This window comes from Homo sapiens, chromosome 9, assembly GCF_000001405.40.
Source record: "Homo sapiens chromosome 9, GRCh38.p14 Primary Assembly".
NCBI classification, from domain to species: Eukaryota; Metazoa; Chordata; class Mammalia; order Primates; family Hominidae; genus Homo; species Homo sapiens.
This window is the reverse complement of record NC_000009.12, coordinates 124,825,589-124,844,081: the sequence shown is the minus strand read 5'-3', so window position 1 is coordinate 124,844,081 and position 18,493 is coordinate 124,825,589. Positions and strand designations below refer to the sequence as shown.

At 50.6% G+C, this 18,493-nt stretch overlaps 4 annotated features.

Annotated features, from left to right (window-relative positions):
• Positions 3,124 to 3,726: an enhancer, noted in NCBI's record as "H3K27ac-H3K4me1 hESC enhancer chr9:127602635-127603237 (GRCh37/hg19 assembly coordinates)". NCBI's record gives its function as "activates a minimal SCP1, AML or CMV promoter by ChIP-STARR-seq in naive H9 embryonic stem cells {active_cell/tissue: H9 hESC(naive)}" and the evidence as "EXISTENCE:reporter gene assay evidence [ECO:0000049][PMID:30033119]".
• Positions 3,727 to 4,330: an enhancer, noted in NCBI's record as "H3K27ac-H3K4me1 hESC enhancer chr9:127602031-127602634 (GRCh37/hg19 assembly coordinates)". NCBI's record gives its function as "activates a minimal SCP1, AML or CMV promoter by ChIP-STARR-seq in naive H9 embryonic stem cells {active_cell/tissue: H9 hESC(naive)}" and the evidence as "EXISTENCE:reporter gene assay evidence [ECO:0000049][PMID:30033119]".
• Positions 8,663 to 9,273: an enhancer, noted in NCBI's record as "H3K4me1 hESC enhancer chr9:127597088-127597698 (GRCh37/hg19 assembly coordinates)". NCBI's record gives its function as "activates a minimal SCP1, AML or CMV promoter by ChIP-STARR-seq in primed H9 embryonic stem cells {active_cell/tissue: H9 hESC(primed)}" and the evidence as "EXISTENCE:reporter gene assay evidence [ECO:0000049][PMID:30033119]".
• Positions 9,274 to 9,885: an enhancer, noted in NCBI's record as "H3K4me1 hESC enhancer chr9:127596476-127597087 (GRCh37/hg19 assembly coordinates)". NCBI's record gives its function as "activates a minimal SCP1, AML or CMV promoter by ChIP-STARR-seq in naive H9 embryonic stem cells {active_cell/tissue: H9 hESC(naive)}" and the evidence as "EXISTENCE:reporter gene assay evidence [ECO:0000049][PMID:30033119]".

Genomic DNA, 18,493 nt, shown 5'->3' with positions numbered 1-18,493 from the left:
AAGTGCTGGGATTACAGGCATGAGCAACAGCCCCCGGGCCATCTCTGGGCTGTTCTGTGTGGCGTCAGATTCATACCCTTCACTCTGGCTCTCTTGGAATACGATTTGCCAGATCTAGAAACTCAGCCTTATTTATCTTACCGTATTTTTTAATACGTGTTTTTCTAAGACAGTCATTCTGTTTGGATAGCAAAGTGACCTAGACGTCAGAAGGAACCTGAGAAGCCCAGGGGGTTTGACCACCACCCACTGTCCCCAGCGTGGGCCCACAGCCCCAGCCTGCATTCCCAGTTCTCAAGTTCAGGGACTCACACCCACGGGTCTCCTCCGGCCTCTCCCACATTCTGGTGAGTCTTACAGAGGAGAACTCTCTGAGGCTCTGAGCTGAGCACCAGTGGAAGGTCTTGAACACGCCACCCTGTGGATGTCAGGCCCAGGTCTGGGGTGGATCGAGGGTGCAGGGCAGGGTAGGGGGCAGCCAGCCAGTCAGGGCCTCTGTGACAGGCCTGTCCAGCTTGTGGGGGCAGGGCCACAACCCAGCTAGAGAGGATTTTTATGCTGTTTCATTTATTTAATTTTTAAGCTCTGTCACCCAGGCTGGATGTCACCTCTGCCTCCCGAGTTCAAGTGATTCTCCTGCCTCAGCCTCCCAAGGAGCTGGGATTACAGGGGTCCGCCACCATGCCCAGGTAATTTTTGTATTTTTAATAGAGGTGGGGTTTCACCATGTTGGCCAGGCTGGTCTCAAACTCCTGACCTCAGGTGATCCAACTGCCTCGGCCTTCCAAAGTGCTGGAATTACAGGCGTGAGCCACCGTGCCCGGCCAATTTTTTTTTTTTTTTTTTGAGACGGAGTCTCGCTCTGTTGGCAGGCTGGAGTGCAATGGTGCGATCTTGGATCACTGCAACCTCTGCCTCCCAGGTTCAAGCGATTCTCCTGCCTCAGCCTGCCCAGTAGCTGGGACTACAGGCACGTGCCACCACGCCCAGGTAATTTTTGTATTTTTAGTAGAGACGGGGTTTCACCATGTTGGCCAGGACTGTCTCGATCTCCTGACTTCATGATCTGCCCACCTCGGCCTCCCAAAGTGTTGGGATTACAGGCATGAGCCATGGTGCGATCTTGGCTCACTGCAACCTCTGCCTCCCGGCTTCAAGCGATTCCCCTGCCTCAGCCTCTCGTGTAGCTGGGATTACAGGCGCGTGCCACCACGCCCAGCTAATTTTTGTATTTTTAGTAGAGACAGGGTTTCACCATGTTGGCCAGGATGGTCTCGATCTCCTGACCTTGTGATCTGCCCATTTTGGCCTCCCAAAGTGCTGGGATTACAGGAATGAGCCCCTGGGCCTGCCCCCAATTTTTAAAATTCTTAAATTGTGCCACTGCACTCCTGCCTGGGCCACAGAGGGAGACTCTGCCTCAAAAAAAAAAAAAAAAATTCTTAAACAGTCTTGGACACAACAATATTAAAGCATAAACCAGGCGTGGTGGCTCACGCCTGTAATCTCAGCACTTTGGGAGGCTGAGGCAGGTGGATTACATGAGGCCAAGAGTTCGAGTCCAGCCTGGCCAATATGGTGAAACCCTGTCTCTACTAAAAATACAAAAATTAGCTAAGTGTGGTGGCGCATGCCTGTCATCCCAGCTACTCAGGAGGCTACGGCAGAAGAATCGCTTGAACCTGGAAGGCAGAGGTTGCAGTGAGCTGAGATCGCACCACTGCACTCCAGCATGGGCAACAGAATGAGACTCCATCTCAAAATAAAAATAAAAGTAAAAATAAAAATAAAAAACAAAGGGCACTCACCACCATAGGAAAGGTAAGAAACAAAAGCAAATGGGTAATTAACTAATCAGAATAAAACACAAAGGGCACATGTGTCTGCTCCCTGTCTTCTTCCACCAACTTCGCTCTTTTAAAGGAGACTGTGCACAGTTTGGGGGGGGGTGTGTCCTTCTAACAGCTTCTCCACTGAACCCCATTTTCCCTCAGTGAAGTGGTGCTTGGTCCCTGAGAAGGGAGGTGTTGCCCAGTTAAATGAGACCAAACCAGTGAGTGCCTGGCCCGGGGCCTTGAACATAGCTGGTGCTCAGAAAGTGGCTTCCTGTCCCGGGTGAGTAGCAGGCCTGTGGTGTCTGTGATGGTAGCAGAAGGCCTGCGTCCTGGAGGCCTACGCCGACCTCCTGGGGCTCTAGGGGGACCCGACCCCCCCCGGAAAGCAGCCCAGGAAGGCAGATCATCTGGGAGCTGAGCCATGAGATGTGGAACTTGGAGTGGGTGTTGGCTCATGACCGTTCTCCCTTATCCCTTGATCCTCTGGACTGGTGGCCCACCTGGGACCCTGAAATGGGGCTCCTGGAATTCCTCTCCTCCCTGGAGCCTGGAGAAGATGCTTGGCCCCAGGGTGGGGTGGAGGAGAGGAGAGAGGACGCGGGTATAGGCGCTAGGGGTGAGGGGAGGGGCAGAAGGTGGTGCCTTCCCCCGCCCCCCATTCTTCCCTTGCTCCTGCCCTCCACCCATTGCCTTCCATCTACATCCCTCCCTGTTCCCTCCCTCCCGTCCTTGCCGGATCACGCCCCTCAACCCCTCTGGGCCCCCTGACCTCTGCAGGGCCCCAGAGAGCTCAGGGAAGAGCAAGGGACCCTCTTTCCGCAATCAGGGAGGTCTTCTGGGAGGAGACAATGGGCTTCCAGGCCTCTGGAGTTAAGGAAGTATTTGCCAGGTGCTAAGCGGAAAAGAAGATTCTGAGAGGCAGAAACGGCATCTATAAAGGCCCCAGGGTAAAGCTGCAGAGCCTGTTTCTGAAGCAGCCAGGAATCGGGTGTGGTGGGCACTGGGTCACCTGGGGGACACCTGGGGAAAATAAGAATTAGAGACTTGGGGGAGGCGTGGGGAATGGAGGCTTGGAATGCCTAGCTAAGGGGTTTAGATGGCATTCTGGCCATGGTTTTCAAAGTAGGTGTCATGGAACCCTGACGGTGCCAAGGGTGGCCTCAGAGCTACCTGGTGCAGGGGGGTCGGGGGGTGAAATGTGGAGAAAGAGGAGACGCAGGGCTGGAATTCTGGGCCTCTGGCCCCCCTCCAGCCAGAATGACTCCAATCTCACGCGAGTTCTGAACTGTGCTGTCACAAGCATTGGGGGAGCCGTGGTGAGCAACAGGGGCCTTCAGCAGCAGCAAGGGACAGCCCAAATGGCCAAATGGAGCTTTAGGAAGCCAATGGAACTTCAGGGGTCAAGTGGCCCCCCAGCCACCTCTGCTTAGGTTCTCTGGCCTGACCATTTCTTCCCAGGCCACCAGGAGGTAATAATGATAATAATTAATAATAACCTGACCATCACAGCGCCACCAGCTGGGGAACTCGAGAATCCAGGAGAGGAAGAGACGCCAAACGAGGGTCACCAGCCAGTTCGGTGGCACAGCTGGGATACGGACCCAGAATCAGCTCCCCCATGAGGGCCTGGCCCCCCTCGGGCAGCCTGGAGCAGTTGCTGCAGGATCCCATCCCTGGCTGGGGCCTCGTGCCGCCAGCAGCCCCCTCCGCCCACCTGCCCTCCCAGCTGTCCCAGTCACACCCGGCACCCATGTGCCCTGTGGAAATCTGACCAGCCTCGCAGCGCCCTCCAAGGAGACAGCTGACGGATGGGGCTTGGGAGAGTGGGGGTCATGTGGGAAGCAGAGCTCAGGCCAGAAAGCGGGAGCCGCCCTGGCCGGGCAGGGAGACACTGGCAGTTTCTGCTTGCCGTGTGACCTTGAGCTCCTTGCTGAGCCTCTCAGGGCTGGCAAGGGCTGCTCTGAGCCACCTGGAGCTGGGGCTAAGTACAGGCAACTTGTGGGTTCCCGGGTCCATGGGCTCACACCTGGAACTTGGCACCGGCCTCCATTGGGCACCCCCCAGACCCCCACCCTGTGGGCCAGAATGATGGGATCTGACTGGCTGTGTGAGTCCAGGCTAATGTATCGGCTTGTCTGGGCCTCAGCTTCCTCATCACAAAGTTGAAAGTGTTGGCAGCTGGGGTGCCGTGCAGTAGCCCGGCCCCTCCATTCAGAAGCTTGTCTCAGCAGCCCCACACCTCCCCCAGGCCCTGAAATGCTTCAATGGCCATTTTGTATCAGGCCAGGGAACTGATGTTTGCTCAGCTGCCCCCACCCCTGAGACTTCATGATAATGGACTCCTGCCAGCCCAGGGCCCCTGTGTCTGGGGGTAGGGGTGGGTAGGAAGCCCTCCTCGGCCTGTCTGGGGCATTGCCCTTCCCTTCCTGACCAGTAGGGGTAGGAGGAACATCGAGTCATTTCCTCTCCCATTTCTTTCCAGAAGTTCAGGCCTAAATCTCAGCCTTCCACTGCCCGCAGCTGTGCCGTTCTATGCAAGTCTCCATTGCGCACTCTGCGAGGGCTTAGCATCCATCCAGACCTGGGTTCAAATCCCCACTTGAGGCTGGGTGCAGTGGCTCATGCCCACAATCCGAGCACTCTAGGAGACCAAGGCAGGAGGACTGCTTAGAAGCCAGGAGTTCAAGACCAACCTGGGCAACATAGCAAGCACCCATCTCCACAAAAAATAAAAGATAAACATTTAGCAGGGGCCAGGCACGGTGGCTCATGCCTGTAATCCCAGTACTTTGGGAGGCCGAGACGGGCAGATCACTTGAGGTCAGGAGTTCAAGACCAGCCTGGCCAACATGGTGAAACCCTGTCTCTACTAAAAATACAAAAATTAGTTGGGCATGGTGGCAGGCACCTGCAATCCCAGCTACTCGGGAGGCTGAGGCAGGAGAATTGCTTGAACCCAGTGAGAGGTGACAGCGTGCTGGCAGTCCTCACAGCCCTCACTCGCTCTCGGTGCCTCCTCTGCCTGGGCTCCCACTTTGGCGGCACTTGAGGAGCCCTTTAGCCCACTGCTGCACTGTGGAAGCCCCTTTCTGGGCTGGCCAAGGCCAGAGCCGGCTCCCTCAGCTTGCAGGGAGGTGTGGAGGGAGAGGCGCGAGCGGGGAACCGGGGCTGCGCGCGGCGCTTGCGGGCCAGCTGGAGTTCCGGATGGGTGTGGGCTTGGCGGGCGGGCTTGGCGGATGCACTCGGAGCAGCCGGCCGGCCCCACCGGCCCCGGGCCAGCGGCTGCAGAGGGTGTACTGGGTCCCCCAGCAGTGCCAGCCCACCAGCGCTGCGCTCGATTTCTCACCGGGCCTTAGCTGCCTTCCCGCGGGGCAGGGCTCGGGACCTGCAGCCCGCCATGCCTGAGCCTCCCACCGCCTCCATGGGCTCCTGCGCCGCCCAAGCCTCCCCGATGAGCGCCGCCCCCTCGCTCCACGGCGCCCAGTCCCATCGACCACCGAAGGGCTGAGGAGTGCGGGCGCACCGCGCGGGACTGGCAGGCAGCTCCACCTGCAGCCCTGGTGCGGGATCCACTGGGTGAAGCCAGCTGGGCTCCCGAGTCTGGTGGAGACGTACAGAACCTTTATGTCTAGCTCAGGGATTGTAAATACACCAATCAGCACCCCGTGTCTAGCTCAGGGTCTGTGAATGCACCAATCGACACTGTATCTAGCTACTCTGGTGGGGCCTTGGAGAACCTTTATGTCTAGCTCAGGGATTGTAAATACACCAATGGGCACTCTGTATCTAGCTCAAGGTTTGTAAACACACCAATCAGCACCCTGTGTCTAGCTCAGGGTTTGTGAATGCACCAATCGACACTATGTATCTAGCTGCTCTGGTGGGGCCTTGGAGAACCTTTGTATCCATACTCTGTATCTAACTAATCTGATGGGGACGTGGAGAACCTTTATGTCTAGCTCAGGGATTGTAAACGCACCAATCAGCACCCTGTCAAAACAGACCACTGGGCTCTACCAATCAGCAGGACGTGGGTGGGGCCAGATAAGAGAATAAAAGCAGGCTGCCCGAACCAGCAGTAGCAACCCTTTGGGTCCCCTTCTGCACTGTGGAAGCTTTGTTCTTTTGCTCTTTACAATATATCTTGCTACTACTCAGTTTTTGGGTCCGCACTGCTTTTATAAGCTGTAACACTCACCGTGAAGACCTGCAGCTTTGCTCCTGAGCCCAGCGAGACCATGAGCCCACGGGGAGGAATGAACAACTCCAGACGTGCTGCCTTAAAAGTTGTAACATTCACCATGAAGGTCTGTAGCTTCACTCCCGAGCCAGCGAGACCACGAACCCACCAGAAGGAAGAAACTCCGAACACATTTGAACATCAGAAGGAACAAACTCCAGACGCGCTGCCTTAAGAGCTGTAACACTCACTGCGAGGGTGCGCAGCTTCATTCTTGAAGTCAGTGAGACCAAGAACCCACCAATTCCGGACACACCAGGAGGTGGAGGTTAAACTGAGCTGAGATTGTGCCATTGCACTCCAGCCTGGATAACAAGAGTGAAACTCTTAAAATAATACATATATGTATATGTATACGTATATATGTATGTATATGCACAAATTAAACTTGTCATTATAAAATGTTTCTTGTTGTTGTTCTCATGCTATATCTTTTCCCATCCTTTTCTTGGACACCTCTAATAACATACCCTTTTATGTTGACCTTTCTGTATCATTTTGTTTCAATGTGTCTCAATTGAATGATTTATCTAGTTTGTTCACACTTACTGATTTACTTGGTTTTAAAAAATCTACCTTTTGTGCCTTTTTTCTTGCTTTTTATACATTTCCTTGTCTCTCGTTTCTTTAAATTTTGTTTACTTATTTGAGACAGGAGTCTTGCTCTGTCACCCAGGCTGGAGTGCAGTGGCACAATCTCACTGCAACCTCTGCCCCGGGGTTCAAGTGATTCTCCTGCCTCAACCTCCTGGGAAGCTGGGATTATAGGCATGCACCACCATGCACGCCTAATTTTTGTATTTTTAGTTGGGGGCGGGAGGGAGTCTGACCACGTCAGCCAGGCTGGTCTCAAACTCCTGACCTCAGGTGATCTGCCCGCCTCAGCCTCCCAAGGTGCTGGGGTTACAGGTGTGAGCCATCGCACCCAGCTGGAAGTCCTTTTTTTCCCAAAGTGAAAAATCATTTAATTTTGTGATCATAAGTTACACGTGAAATTTTAAATACTAGACAGTAAGAGGTATTTAAAAGTTACCTCAAATCCTCCCTAAAGATGCTAGCGTTCTGCGGTATATATTTAGACATATCTACAGACAAGGATATAACTTTCCCAGTTCTATTTGTGGGACCTGGGCGGTCCACCTCTCTGAAACTGTTTCCCTAGCTAAGAAGTAGGGGTGCGATCAACATGGGTAGGCTATAGTACCCAGTTACTTTGTCAAACACTAATCTAGGTGTTCCCATAAGGTATTTTGTACATGGGTTGAGTCAACATCTACAGCTGACTTCAAGTAAAGATTACCCTTGGCTGGGCTTGGTGGCTCACACCTGTAATTCCAACACTTTGGGAGCCCGAGGTGGGTGGATCACTTGAGGTCAGGAGTTCGAGAACAGCCTGGCCAACATGGTGAAACATCTGTCTCTGCTAAAAATACAAAAAAATTAGCCAGATGTGGCAGTGCACGCCTGTAGTCCCAGCTACTTAGGAGGCTGAGGCACGAGAATCGCTTGAACCTGGGAGACGGAGGTTGCAGTAAACCGAGATCATACCATTTCACTCCAGCCTGGGCAATAGAGTGAAACTCCGTCTTGAAAAAAAAAAGGGGGGGGGCCAGGCCTGGTGGCTCACTCCTGTAATTCTAGCCCTTTGAGAGGCCAAGATGAGCGGATCACCTGAGTTCAGGAGTTTGAGACCAGTCTGGGCAACACAGTGAAACCCTGTCTTTATTAAAAATACAAAAAATTAGCTGGGCATGGTAGTGCATGCCTGTAATCCTAGCTACTCAGGAGACAGGCACAAGAATCACTTGAACCCAGGAGGCGGAGGTTGTTGTAAGCCAAGATCACACCACTTCACTCCAGTCTGGGTGACAGAGTGAGACTCTGTCTCAAAAAAAAAAATTACCCTTGATGTGTGGGTGGTGGGCCTCATCCAATCAGTTGAAGGCTTTAAGAGCAAAAACGCATTTGCCAGAGAAGACATTCTGCCTCAAAACTGCAACATCAAATCCTGCCTGAGTTTCCAACCTGCTGGCCCACCCTACACATTTTGGACCTGCCAGCGCCCATAATCACATGAGCCATATCCTTAAAATAAGGTATAGGCCACACATAAACACACACTCTCTCTCTTTCCCTCTCTCTCTCTATATGTGTGTGTGTGTGTGTATATATATGTGCGTGTATATATATATGTGTGTGTATATATACACACACGTATATATAGATACACACACACACATATATATATATGTTGTATTCCCTATCTAAGACCCAGGGGAGGCAGAGCAGCATTCATCTCCACTGTCGGAAGGTAGTCCAAGGTCACCCCAAGGAGGCAGAACCCAGGGCTACAGACTCTCAAACCAGTGTTCTTCCCACAAAATCAAAGGCAGTGCAGTCCCTGAGAAAGGGTCATCTGGTGCCAGGCTGCCCAAGCGGGATCCCCACTGTGTGAGGCTGGGTGGGGAACTTGACATCTGCTCTCCTAGGAGTGGGATCATGGACCCCAGCTCACAGGGTCCTTGTGCATTTTCTATGCAAGTAGAGTGTAGTTCAGCCCGGCACACAGTAAATGCAAGATATTGTTGCTATTAATAAAACTCTAGAACAAATTCCCCAGAGGTCAAAGTCTGGCTGTGTGCCAGCCTCCAACAGGCTTCTGTGGCTGGCGGGGAGCCAGGCTACAGGGAAAACTCCCCGTACACCCAGACCTGGAGCCTGGGGCCTGGTGAGGAACGTGGGATGATTCTGAAACCAGTTGGCGGAGGAAGGGTTTATGGTGTGTCTCAGCGAGTGGTCAGCACGGCACCAGGGTGGCGTACAGAAGGGGCCTGGGAGGGCAGCCTCACCTACAGGGGCCCCTCTACAGTGCCACTGGCACCAGGGCCGTGTCCATCCCTAGGCTGGAAAACGTGCTTCCCACTTAGGGCCCCGGGGAAGCTGCTTGGGTCTGCTCTGCGTCGGAGGGAGCTCAGGAGGGAAGGCCAAGATGCCAGGCTCAGGAGGTCCCCTGCCCTCTGGCACTGCCTGGGACTCTGTCTCAGGTGCAGTCAGGTGGCTCCGTAAGTAGCTTCTCCCCTACACCTGGCCGGGCCTCCAGATTCTCTTAACAGCCTTATTAGTGCAAGTGTTCTTTGAGTCATCGGATGTGTCATTGGCCCCATTTGACAGATGAAAGTGTGGCTCAGAGGGGCAGGGACTCGCCTGAGCTCATGGCTGGATTGGAACCCTGCCCCCATCCCACCCAGCTCAGATTCCAGGCTCTCACACCCTGCCCCACCCTCAGCCTCGGCAGTCTGCCCCTTCCCAGCCCAGTGCCCCAGCCCCACAAGTAACACGCTCCCAGCCTGGTCCTCTCCTGTGGCTCCCTGCTGCCCGGTTCCAGCCTCTGCAGCAGAACAAGCTGCTGTCTAGTCCCTGCCTGGTTCCCTGTCGCTGTGCCCATCAAATGCCACTTACAAAGGCTCTCACAGCTCCTCAAAGCTACTGCTCCCCCTCCATCTGGAAATTGAGTTTAGTTTGTTTGTTTTGTTTTTGAGACAGAGTCTCACTCTGGTGCCCAGGCTGCAGTGCCTGGCGCAATCATGGCTCACTGCGGCCTCGACCTCCTGGCTCGGGTGATTCTCTCGCCTCAGCCTCCTGAGTAGCTGGGACCACAAATGCACATCACCATGCCTGGCTACTTTTTAAATTTTTTTTGTAGAGATGGGGTCTCACCACATTGCCCAGGCTGGTCTTGAACTTTGGAACTCAAGCCAGCCTTCCACCTTGGCCTCCCAAAATGCTGGGATTACAGGCGTGAGCCACTGTGCCTGGCCAATTTAATATTTTAACCTTCTCAAGCCGTTTTTTTTTTCAGAGTGCGATCCTCTCAGAAAGGCTTTGGGATATACAAATAATTGTTAGTAATTTGTTAACCATTCACTAACTGCTAGGTGCCGTGCAAAGTGCCTTCCGTGCACCGTCTCACCTCCTCAGCACTCTGAGGTAGGGTTCTGTGTCATTCCCATTCTACAGATGGAGAAACTGAGGCTCAAGGGGGCGATGGGGACTTGCTCAAAGACATATAGCAGTAACATCCCACACTCACTGGGCACTTAGTCTATGTCAGACACTGCTGTAAGCACTTTATTTATTTATTTTTATTTTGAGACGGAGTCTTGCTCTGTCGCCCAGGCTGGAGTGCAGTGGCGGGATCTCAGCTCACTGCAACCTCTGCCTCCCGGGTTCAAGCAATTTTCCTGCCTGAGCCTCCTGGGTAGCTGGGGTTACAGGTGCCCGCCATCATGCCTGGCTAATTTTGTATTTTAGTAGAGATAGGGTTTCACCATGTTGGCCAGGCTGGTCTCGAACTCCTGATCTCAAGTGATCTGCCTGCCTCAGCTTCCCAGTGGGTTGGGATTACAGGCGTAAGCCACTGCACCCGGCCTATTTTTTATTTTTTTTGAGACAGAGCCTCGCTCTGCCGCCCAGGCTGGAATGCAGCGGTGCAATCTTGGCTCACTGCAACCTCCTCCTCCTGGGTTCAAGCGATTCTCCTATCTCAGCCTCCTGAGTAGCTGGGATTACAGGTGTGCACCACTATGCCTGGCTAATTTTTGTATTTTTAGTAGAGATGGGGTTTCACCATGTTGGCCAGGCTGGTCTCGAACTCCTGACCTCAAGTGATCTGCCCGCCTTGGCCTCCCAAAGTGCTGGGATTACAGGCATGAGCCACCACACCCGGCCTATAAGCACTTTATATAAAGTGGGTCATTTAATGCTCACTGCATGCCTGTGAGGGCAAGACCATTCTAATCCTTACCTGAGAGGTAAGGAAACTAAAGCTCACAGGGCAGTGAGTTGGCCAAGGCCACAGAGCTGGAAAGTGGTTGAGTCTGGGTTCTAACCCAGGGCCTGGCTCCACAGCCTACACTCAAGTCTGGTGGCTCTCTAGGAGATAGAGATGGGATTCGAACCTGGAACCTGATGTATCCAGGACCCAGTTTCTTTCCCAGCCTCCCCCAGGAGGCAAGGAGCCAGCCAAGGCTAGGCCTCAGCCCGTGGGATGACTCCCAGCACATTAGGGCAAAAACCGCAACTGGGAAGCCAGCCAGCTTCCAGGCGGGCTCGGAGCTCGGGCTGAGTCCGAGGAAGTGGCTTTGGCCAGGACCCCTGAGGAGGTGGGGGGCTCCCCAAGGGCCACAATGGGGCAGGGCCTGGGCTCCCCACATGGCCTGGGGATTGGCTGGCATTTGTGCAACCAAGTGCTTTGTGGTAATTACCGTTTCCTGCCTCCACGAGCTTCCAAGTTTTTACATAAATATTTTTAGCAGATGAGGCCTACAACCTCCTTAAAAAAATTATCTACCATAAAACTCAGCAGCACATGTTCAGAGATTACCTCTCTTTATGTAATCTCCATGCTTTCCAAAAGTTACTTTTTTTTTTTTTTTCTGAGACGGAGTTTCACTCTTGTTGCACAGGCTGGAGTGCAATGGCACGATCTCGGCTCACTGCAACCTCCGCCTCCAGGGTTTAAGTGATTCTCCTGCCTCAGCCTCCTGAAAAGCTGGGATTACAGGCACGTGCCATCAGGCCCAGCTAATTTTTGTATTTTTAGTACGGACAGGGTTTTGCCATGTTGGCCAGGCTGGCCTTAAGCTCCTGAACTCAGGTGATCCACCTGCCTTAGCCTCCCAAAGTGCTTGGATTACAGGCGTGAGCCACCACCCCCAGACAAAAGTTACTGTTAAAGTTAAATGTGGGTCACCCACGTCTGCTTTGAAAGAACACTGGGATGAAGACTGCATCAGAGCGGTTAGGAGCTCAGGCCCCAGGGGCAGGCAGGCCTGTCTGACGAGCTGTGTGTCCTCAGACAAGTCACTTCACCTCTCTGAGCCTCAGTGTCTTTATCTGTAAAGGGGAGGTAAACAAATTTTCTCCTTTGTAAGCCCAAATGTGAAGCCTTTAGCAGGGTACCCTGAGGAGACACAAAATCTCTGGGTAATGGGGCATTCGGTGGCATTGGGAGTAAAAAAGGAACCAAATCACCCCACTGTGCCCAAGTAAACTGTGACTTCAGGCCAGCCAGCTGCAAGGTGATGAGCTGAAGCCTGCTCACCAGACTGTTTTCCTGGAAGGACGGGCGCCCTTGGCCCTATCTCTGGGTCCTGCCCTTGACTGGGCCTTGCTTCCTTCCATTTTCTCACGCTGAGGCAACAGCCCAGCTGGCTGTGTCCCATGCAGGCTCCACTGGGGCTGGGTGTGACAGTATCTGTCACCGGTGCCTGGAGCTGGCAGGCCCACAGCTCCTGGGGGTCAGTCCTCAAAGCCTTGAAGCAGGAGATGGAAGTGGGTAGGGGCTGGACCTGGGGCCCAGCCTTGACCTCCAGGCTTACAGGAACCTGCCGGGCATCTCCCCCCGCAGATTTCTTTTCTTTTCTTTTTGTTTTTTTGAGATGCAGTCTCGCTCTGTCACCCAGCCTGGAGTGCAGTGGCGCGATCTCGGCTCACTGCAACGTCTGCCTCTGGGGTTCAAGCGATTCTCCTGCCTCAGCCTCCTGAGTAGCTGGGACTACAACAGGTGCGTGCCACCATGCCTGGCTAATTTGTTATATTTTTAGTAGAGATGGGGTTTCACCATGTTAGCCAGGATGTTCTCGATCTCCTGACCTCGTAATCTGCCCGCCTCAGCCTCCCAAAGTGCTGGGATTACAGGTGTGAGCCACTGCCCCCAGCCCTCCCCCCGCAGATTTCGTATCAGGACGTCTCCCAAGAGCATGAAACGAATCCACCCTTTTCTGCCCTCACACCTGCTCCATCTCAATTATGGCACCTGTTTCCCAGTACTCAGCTCACCCTAACTAGGCGCTGACAATTTACCGAACGCCTATCCTGTGCAGGGCCTGGCCTAAGCGCTTTACTTGGTTTATCTGAATTAACCCTTAGCAACTCTATAATATAGGTGTTGTCATTACCTCTACTTCGTAGGTGAGGAAACTGAGGCACAGAGAGAGCAAAAACTTGCTCTGGATCATACAGCTAAGAGATGTGTAAGGCAGGACTCAGACCCAAGCAGCCTGGCTAGGCCCTGATGCTCATGACCACTGCACCCAATGCTCTATGCTATCTCGGTCTTTGTGCCTTAGCACAGCTGTTCCTTCTGCCTGGAATGCCTTTCCACCTCTTCTCTGCATGGAAAACTTCTATGTATACCTCAAAACCCACCACAAGTGTTCCTTCTCTTAGATGACAGTCAGCCTCTGCTCCACATCTTACCCACCCAGCTCTCGTTAAATCACCAATCGTGGTTTGAAGTGATTGTTGTGACCATGTCTGTCTCCCTGGGGACAGGGACTAGATGTGATCCGTGTCTATATTCCCCACACTCAGGATGGGCCTGGCACAGAGGCAGACACCAGTGAATGAACACATGAATAAACGAACGAATGAATGAATGAATCACTTCATCACATACAAATTATTAATCTGGGCATATCTTTGAGAATAGATTTCAAGACTTTATTTTAAAAGCCAGATATTGGCCAGGCGCGGTGGCTCACGCCTGTAATCCCAGCACTTTGGGAGGCCGAGGCGGGTGGATCATGAGGTCAGGAGATCGAGACCATCCTGGCTAACAAGGTGAAACCCCGTCTCTACTAAAAATACAAAAAATTAGCCGGGCGCGGTGGCGGGCGCCTGTAGTCCCAGCTATTCGGGAGGCTGAGGCAGGAGAATGGCGTGAACCCGGGAAGCGGAGCTTGCAGTGAGCCGAGATTGCGCCACTGCAGTCTGCAGTCCGGCCTGGGCGACAGAGCGAGACTCCGTCTCAAAAAAAAATAAAAAATAAAAAAATAAAAATAAAAATAAAAGCCAGATATTCCAAATCCCCCAAACTCCAGCCTTTGGAGAAAAAGAAGTGTCAAACACAAACAGCTGTATAATTTTCTCAAAACAAAGAGATTTACTTTGTTTACCTTGATTTTAATTCTGAGCTCAGCAAACACTTCAGGATCTTTGTAAAAACTCCAAACCACCCCTGGAGGGAGAAAGGGGGTATCTAAAACACCAGAAGCGTGCTCCTGCTGGGGTCGGGGGAGGGAGGGAGGTAAAAGAAAACAAGGGAAGGAAAAAATTCTTATCACCCCATGGGTTCCTTCCACATCCCAAATAATTGAAAATGGATGTTTTTTCTTCATTCGAAAAAGGCATTTTGTAAAAATGACACAGACCCTGTAAGTGATGCTCATTACATCACTGAAAAAGATTTAAACCAGCCAGAAAGGACAAAAAGGAAAATAAAATTACTCCATATCACACCTCCCAGCTACTTACACAAGTGCGTTTATTTGTATGGTCACTGAGCTACGCCTAAGAAGTGAGCACTCTGCTGTCATGCTATACTTTAATAAAAAATCGCACCACCCAGAGAAAGCTCTTGATGTCATCTTCCAGAGCTCACATCTGCCTCTTGCAAGGTACTAATTCTTCAGCCTAGTCAATAACTATTTACTGAGTGCCTACTCTGTGCCAGGCTCGCCTGGATCCTGGGGATGAAGGGTGGAGCTGTCTTCACGGGACAGACATGAATCAAAGCCCTGATCATGGTACTGCACTCCAGCCTCGGGTGGGTGGGGGTGGAGAGAGAGAGAGAGGAAGGAAGGAGAGAGGGAGAGAGAGGGAGAAAGACAGAGGAAGGAAGGAGAGAGAGCAACGAAAGAAAGACAGGAAGGGAGGAAGGAAAGAAAGAAGGAAGGGAAGGAGAGAGAGAGAAAAGAGAAAGAAAGAGAGAGAAAGAAGGAAAGAGAAAGAGAGAGAGGAAGGAAGGAGAGAGAGAAAGAAAGAAAGAAGAAAGAAAGGAAGGAAGGAAAGAAGGAGGGAGGGAGGAAGGAGAGAGAGAGAGGAAGGAAGGAGAGAGAGAAAGAAAGAAATTAGAAAGAAAGGAAGGAAGGAAAGAAGGAGGGAGGGAGGAAGGAAGGAGAGAGAGAGGAAGGAAGGAAGAGAGAAAGAAAGAAAGAGGAAGGAAGGAGGGAGGGAAGAAGGAAGGAGAGAGAGAGGAAGGAAGGAAAGAAGGAAGGAAGGGAAGGAAAGAGAGAAAGAAAGAGAAAGAAAGGAAGGAAAAAAGAAAGAAAGGGAAAGAGAGAAAGAAAGAAGGAAAGAGAGAAAGAGGAAAGAGAAAGAAAGAAAGGAATGAGAGAAAGAAAGAAAGAGAAAGGAAAGAGAAAGGAAGGAAGGAGAGAGAAAGAAAGAAAGAGAAGAAAGAAAACCTTCATATCTACAAGCAGTTACTCCCTATCCCCTCAGTCCTTGGCAACCATGAATCTCTGTCTCTCTGGACTTGCCAATTCTGACATTTTGTATATATGATATCATACAATATGTGGCCTTTTGTGACTGCCCTTCTTGCATACCACGTATCCTATCAGGCAATATTCTATGCAAATGGAAGAGCTCCTGCAATCACTTCTGTTTAAAATAACACTTTCCCTCCTCACTATACATACATACAATTTTATAGAAATAAAACTACACTCTACATGTGGTTTAAAATTTTTCTTTTCTTGGCCAGGCGTGGTGGCTCACGCCTGTAATCCCAGCACTTTGGGAGGCCGAGGTGGACGGATCACGAGGCCAGGAGATCAAGACCATCCTGACCAACATGGTGAAACCCCGTCTCTACTAAAAATACAAAAAAATTAGCTGGGCATGACGGTGCGCACCTGTAGTCCCAGCTACTCTGGAGGTTGAGGCAGGGGAATCGCTTATTTTTTTCTTTTTCTTTCTTTTTTTTTTGGGATGGAGTCTCGCTCCATCGACCAGGCTGGAGTGCAATGGCAAGATCTCAGCTCACTGCAACCTCCACCTGCCTGGTTCAAGCAATTCTCTTGCCTCAGCCTCCCTAGTAGGTGGGACTACAGGTATGTGGCATGGGGTTTCACCATGTTGGCCAGGCTAGTCTTGAACTCCTGAACTCAAGTGATCTGCTGGCCTTGGCCTCCCAAAGTGTTGGGATTACAGGTGTGAGCCATTGTGCCCAGTCCCCCAAACTTTCTTTTATTTAATAAAGTATCAGGGGTGTCTTTCTGTGTTAGTATAGATCTGCATAACCCTTTTGTAATGTTTGCAGAGTAAATTATGTGGTTAAAACAGTAAGTCTTGGTTGGGCACGGTGGCTCATGCCTGTAACCCCAGCACTTTGGGAGGCCGAGGCAGGTGGATCACTTGAACCCAGGAGTTTGAGACCAGCCTGGGCAACATGGCAAAACCCCATCTCTACAAAAAATGCAAAAATTAGCTGGGAGTGGTGGTGTGCACCTGTAGTCCCAGTTACTTGGGAGGCTGAGGAGGGAGGATCGCTTGAGCCTGGGAGGTTGAGGGTTCAGTGAACCGTGACTGCACCACTGCACTCCAACCTGGGTGATAGAGTGAGACCTAGTCTCAAACAAAACAAAATGAAACAAAACAGAACAATACAAAAAACCTCCAATAAGTCTAGTTCAAGCTCAGTGGTCAATGCTTAGGCCCAAGAAGAGGGCAGACTAGGCCCCTCTGCCTGGATCTCTATTGCATTTCTGGCTTTTCTTTTTTTGTGTGTGAGATGGAGTCTCACTCTGTCACCCAGGCTGGAGTGCAGTGGTGCGATCTCGGCTCACTGCAATCTCCCCCTCCCGGGCTCAAGTGATTCTCCTACCTCAGCCTCCCAAGTAGCTGGGACTACAGGTGTGTGCCACCATACCCAGCTAATTTTTGTATTTTTAATGGAGACGGGGTTTCACCATGTTGGCCAGGCTTGTCTTAAACTCCTGACCTCAAATGATCCTCCTGCCTTGGCCTCCCAAAGTGCTGGGATTACAGGCGTGAGCCACCACACCCGGCCTTGTACAATAGGATTCTTGTGAGGATTAAATAAGATTGTGTAGCAGCATGCCTGGGTCTTAGTCAATGCTTGATAAATAACAGGTACAATTTATTCAGGGATTACCATATCCAGGCCCTTTGCTAAGACTATTCATAATTGGTGATTGTTGTCTAATATATATATTAAATTGAATACCATGTTATTCAACTTAAAGGTAACTTCTGTGATAGTTATCATTATTATCACAGTGAAGTCAAGACCCTGTGTCTATCTATCCAGCTACAGGGTAAAGCCACTTGTTGAGCCGTTCGTCAATTTTCCACAAACATTTGATGAGCATTTACTATGCCCCAGACCAGATGTTAGGCACTGGCAGATAAAAGTGCTCCTAATTCTCCTCCATTCATATTAAGGAGACAAACAAATAAACATAAGCAAGATGCCTAGAAAATGACCAAACATATTAGCCCTACTATACATAAATGGGTTAATTTCTTTCATTGAAACAAAGGAAAAAACAAGAAGACAATCTGAGAATGGCGAAAAAGAAAATTTACTTACCCGTTATTTCCAATAGAACTAAAACAAGCTATGGGGAGAAACTAAAATTTCAAATGAAGAGCACTGTGTTTATAAATTTTGAATAACATTTCTTTTTGCAGCCTCTACTTCCCAGGCTCAAGCGATCCTCCCACCTGAGCCTCCCAAGTAGCTGGGACTACAGGTGCACATCACCACACTTGGCTGACTTTTGTATTTTTTGTAGAGATGGGGTTTCACCATGTTGCCCAGGCTGATCTCAAAGTTCCTGGCTCAAGTGATCCTCCTGCCTCAGCCTCCCAAAGTGCTGGGATTACAGGCGTGAGCCACCATGCCCAGACAAAAGTCACAATTTTGCTATACCAGAGTAATAATTAATATAGACAAGAATCACCAATAGATGGTAAAACTAGAGTTTGAAAGTTGGATGAGAAATAGAATATCAATATAGTCTCAATGTACTCCCCAACAAATGACTTATTATTTATAAAGAGAAAACAGTAATTTTACATTAGATAAGACTGGTAAGGTCAGTCTATATCCCAAAACTTTGAGAGGCTGAGGCAAGCAGATCACTAGTTCAGCCCAAGAGTTCAAGACCAGCCTGGGGAACATGGCAAAACCCCATCTCTACAAAAAAAAAAAAATATATATATATATATATACATATATATATACACATATATATATATACATATACATATATATACACATATATATATACATATATATATACACATATATATATATACATATATATATATACACATATATATATATACATATATATATATACATATATATATATACCAAAATACCAAAATTAGCCAGGCATGTTAGTGTGCACCTGTAGTCCCAGCTACTCAGGAGGTTGAGGTGGTAGGATGGCTTGAGCTTCGGAGGTGGAGGTTGCAGTGAGCCAAGATCATACCACTGCATTCCAGCCTGGGCGACAGAGTAAGACTCTGTCTCAAAAAAATAAAGAAATAAATAAAGGCTGGCAGACACCACTGTAACCAAGTGATCAAAGTAAACCAT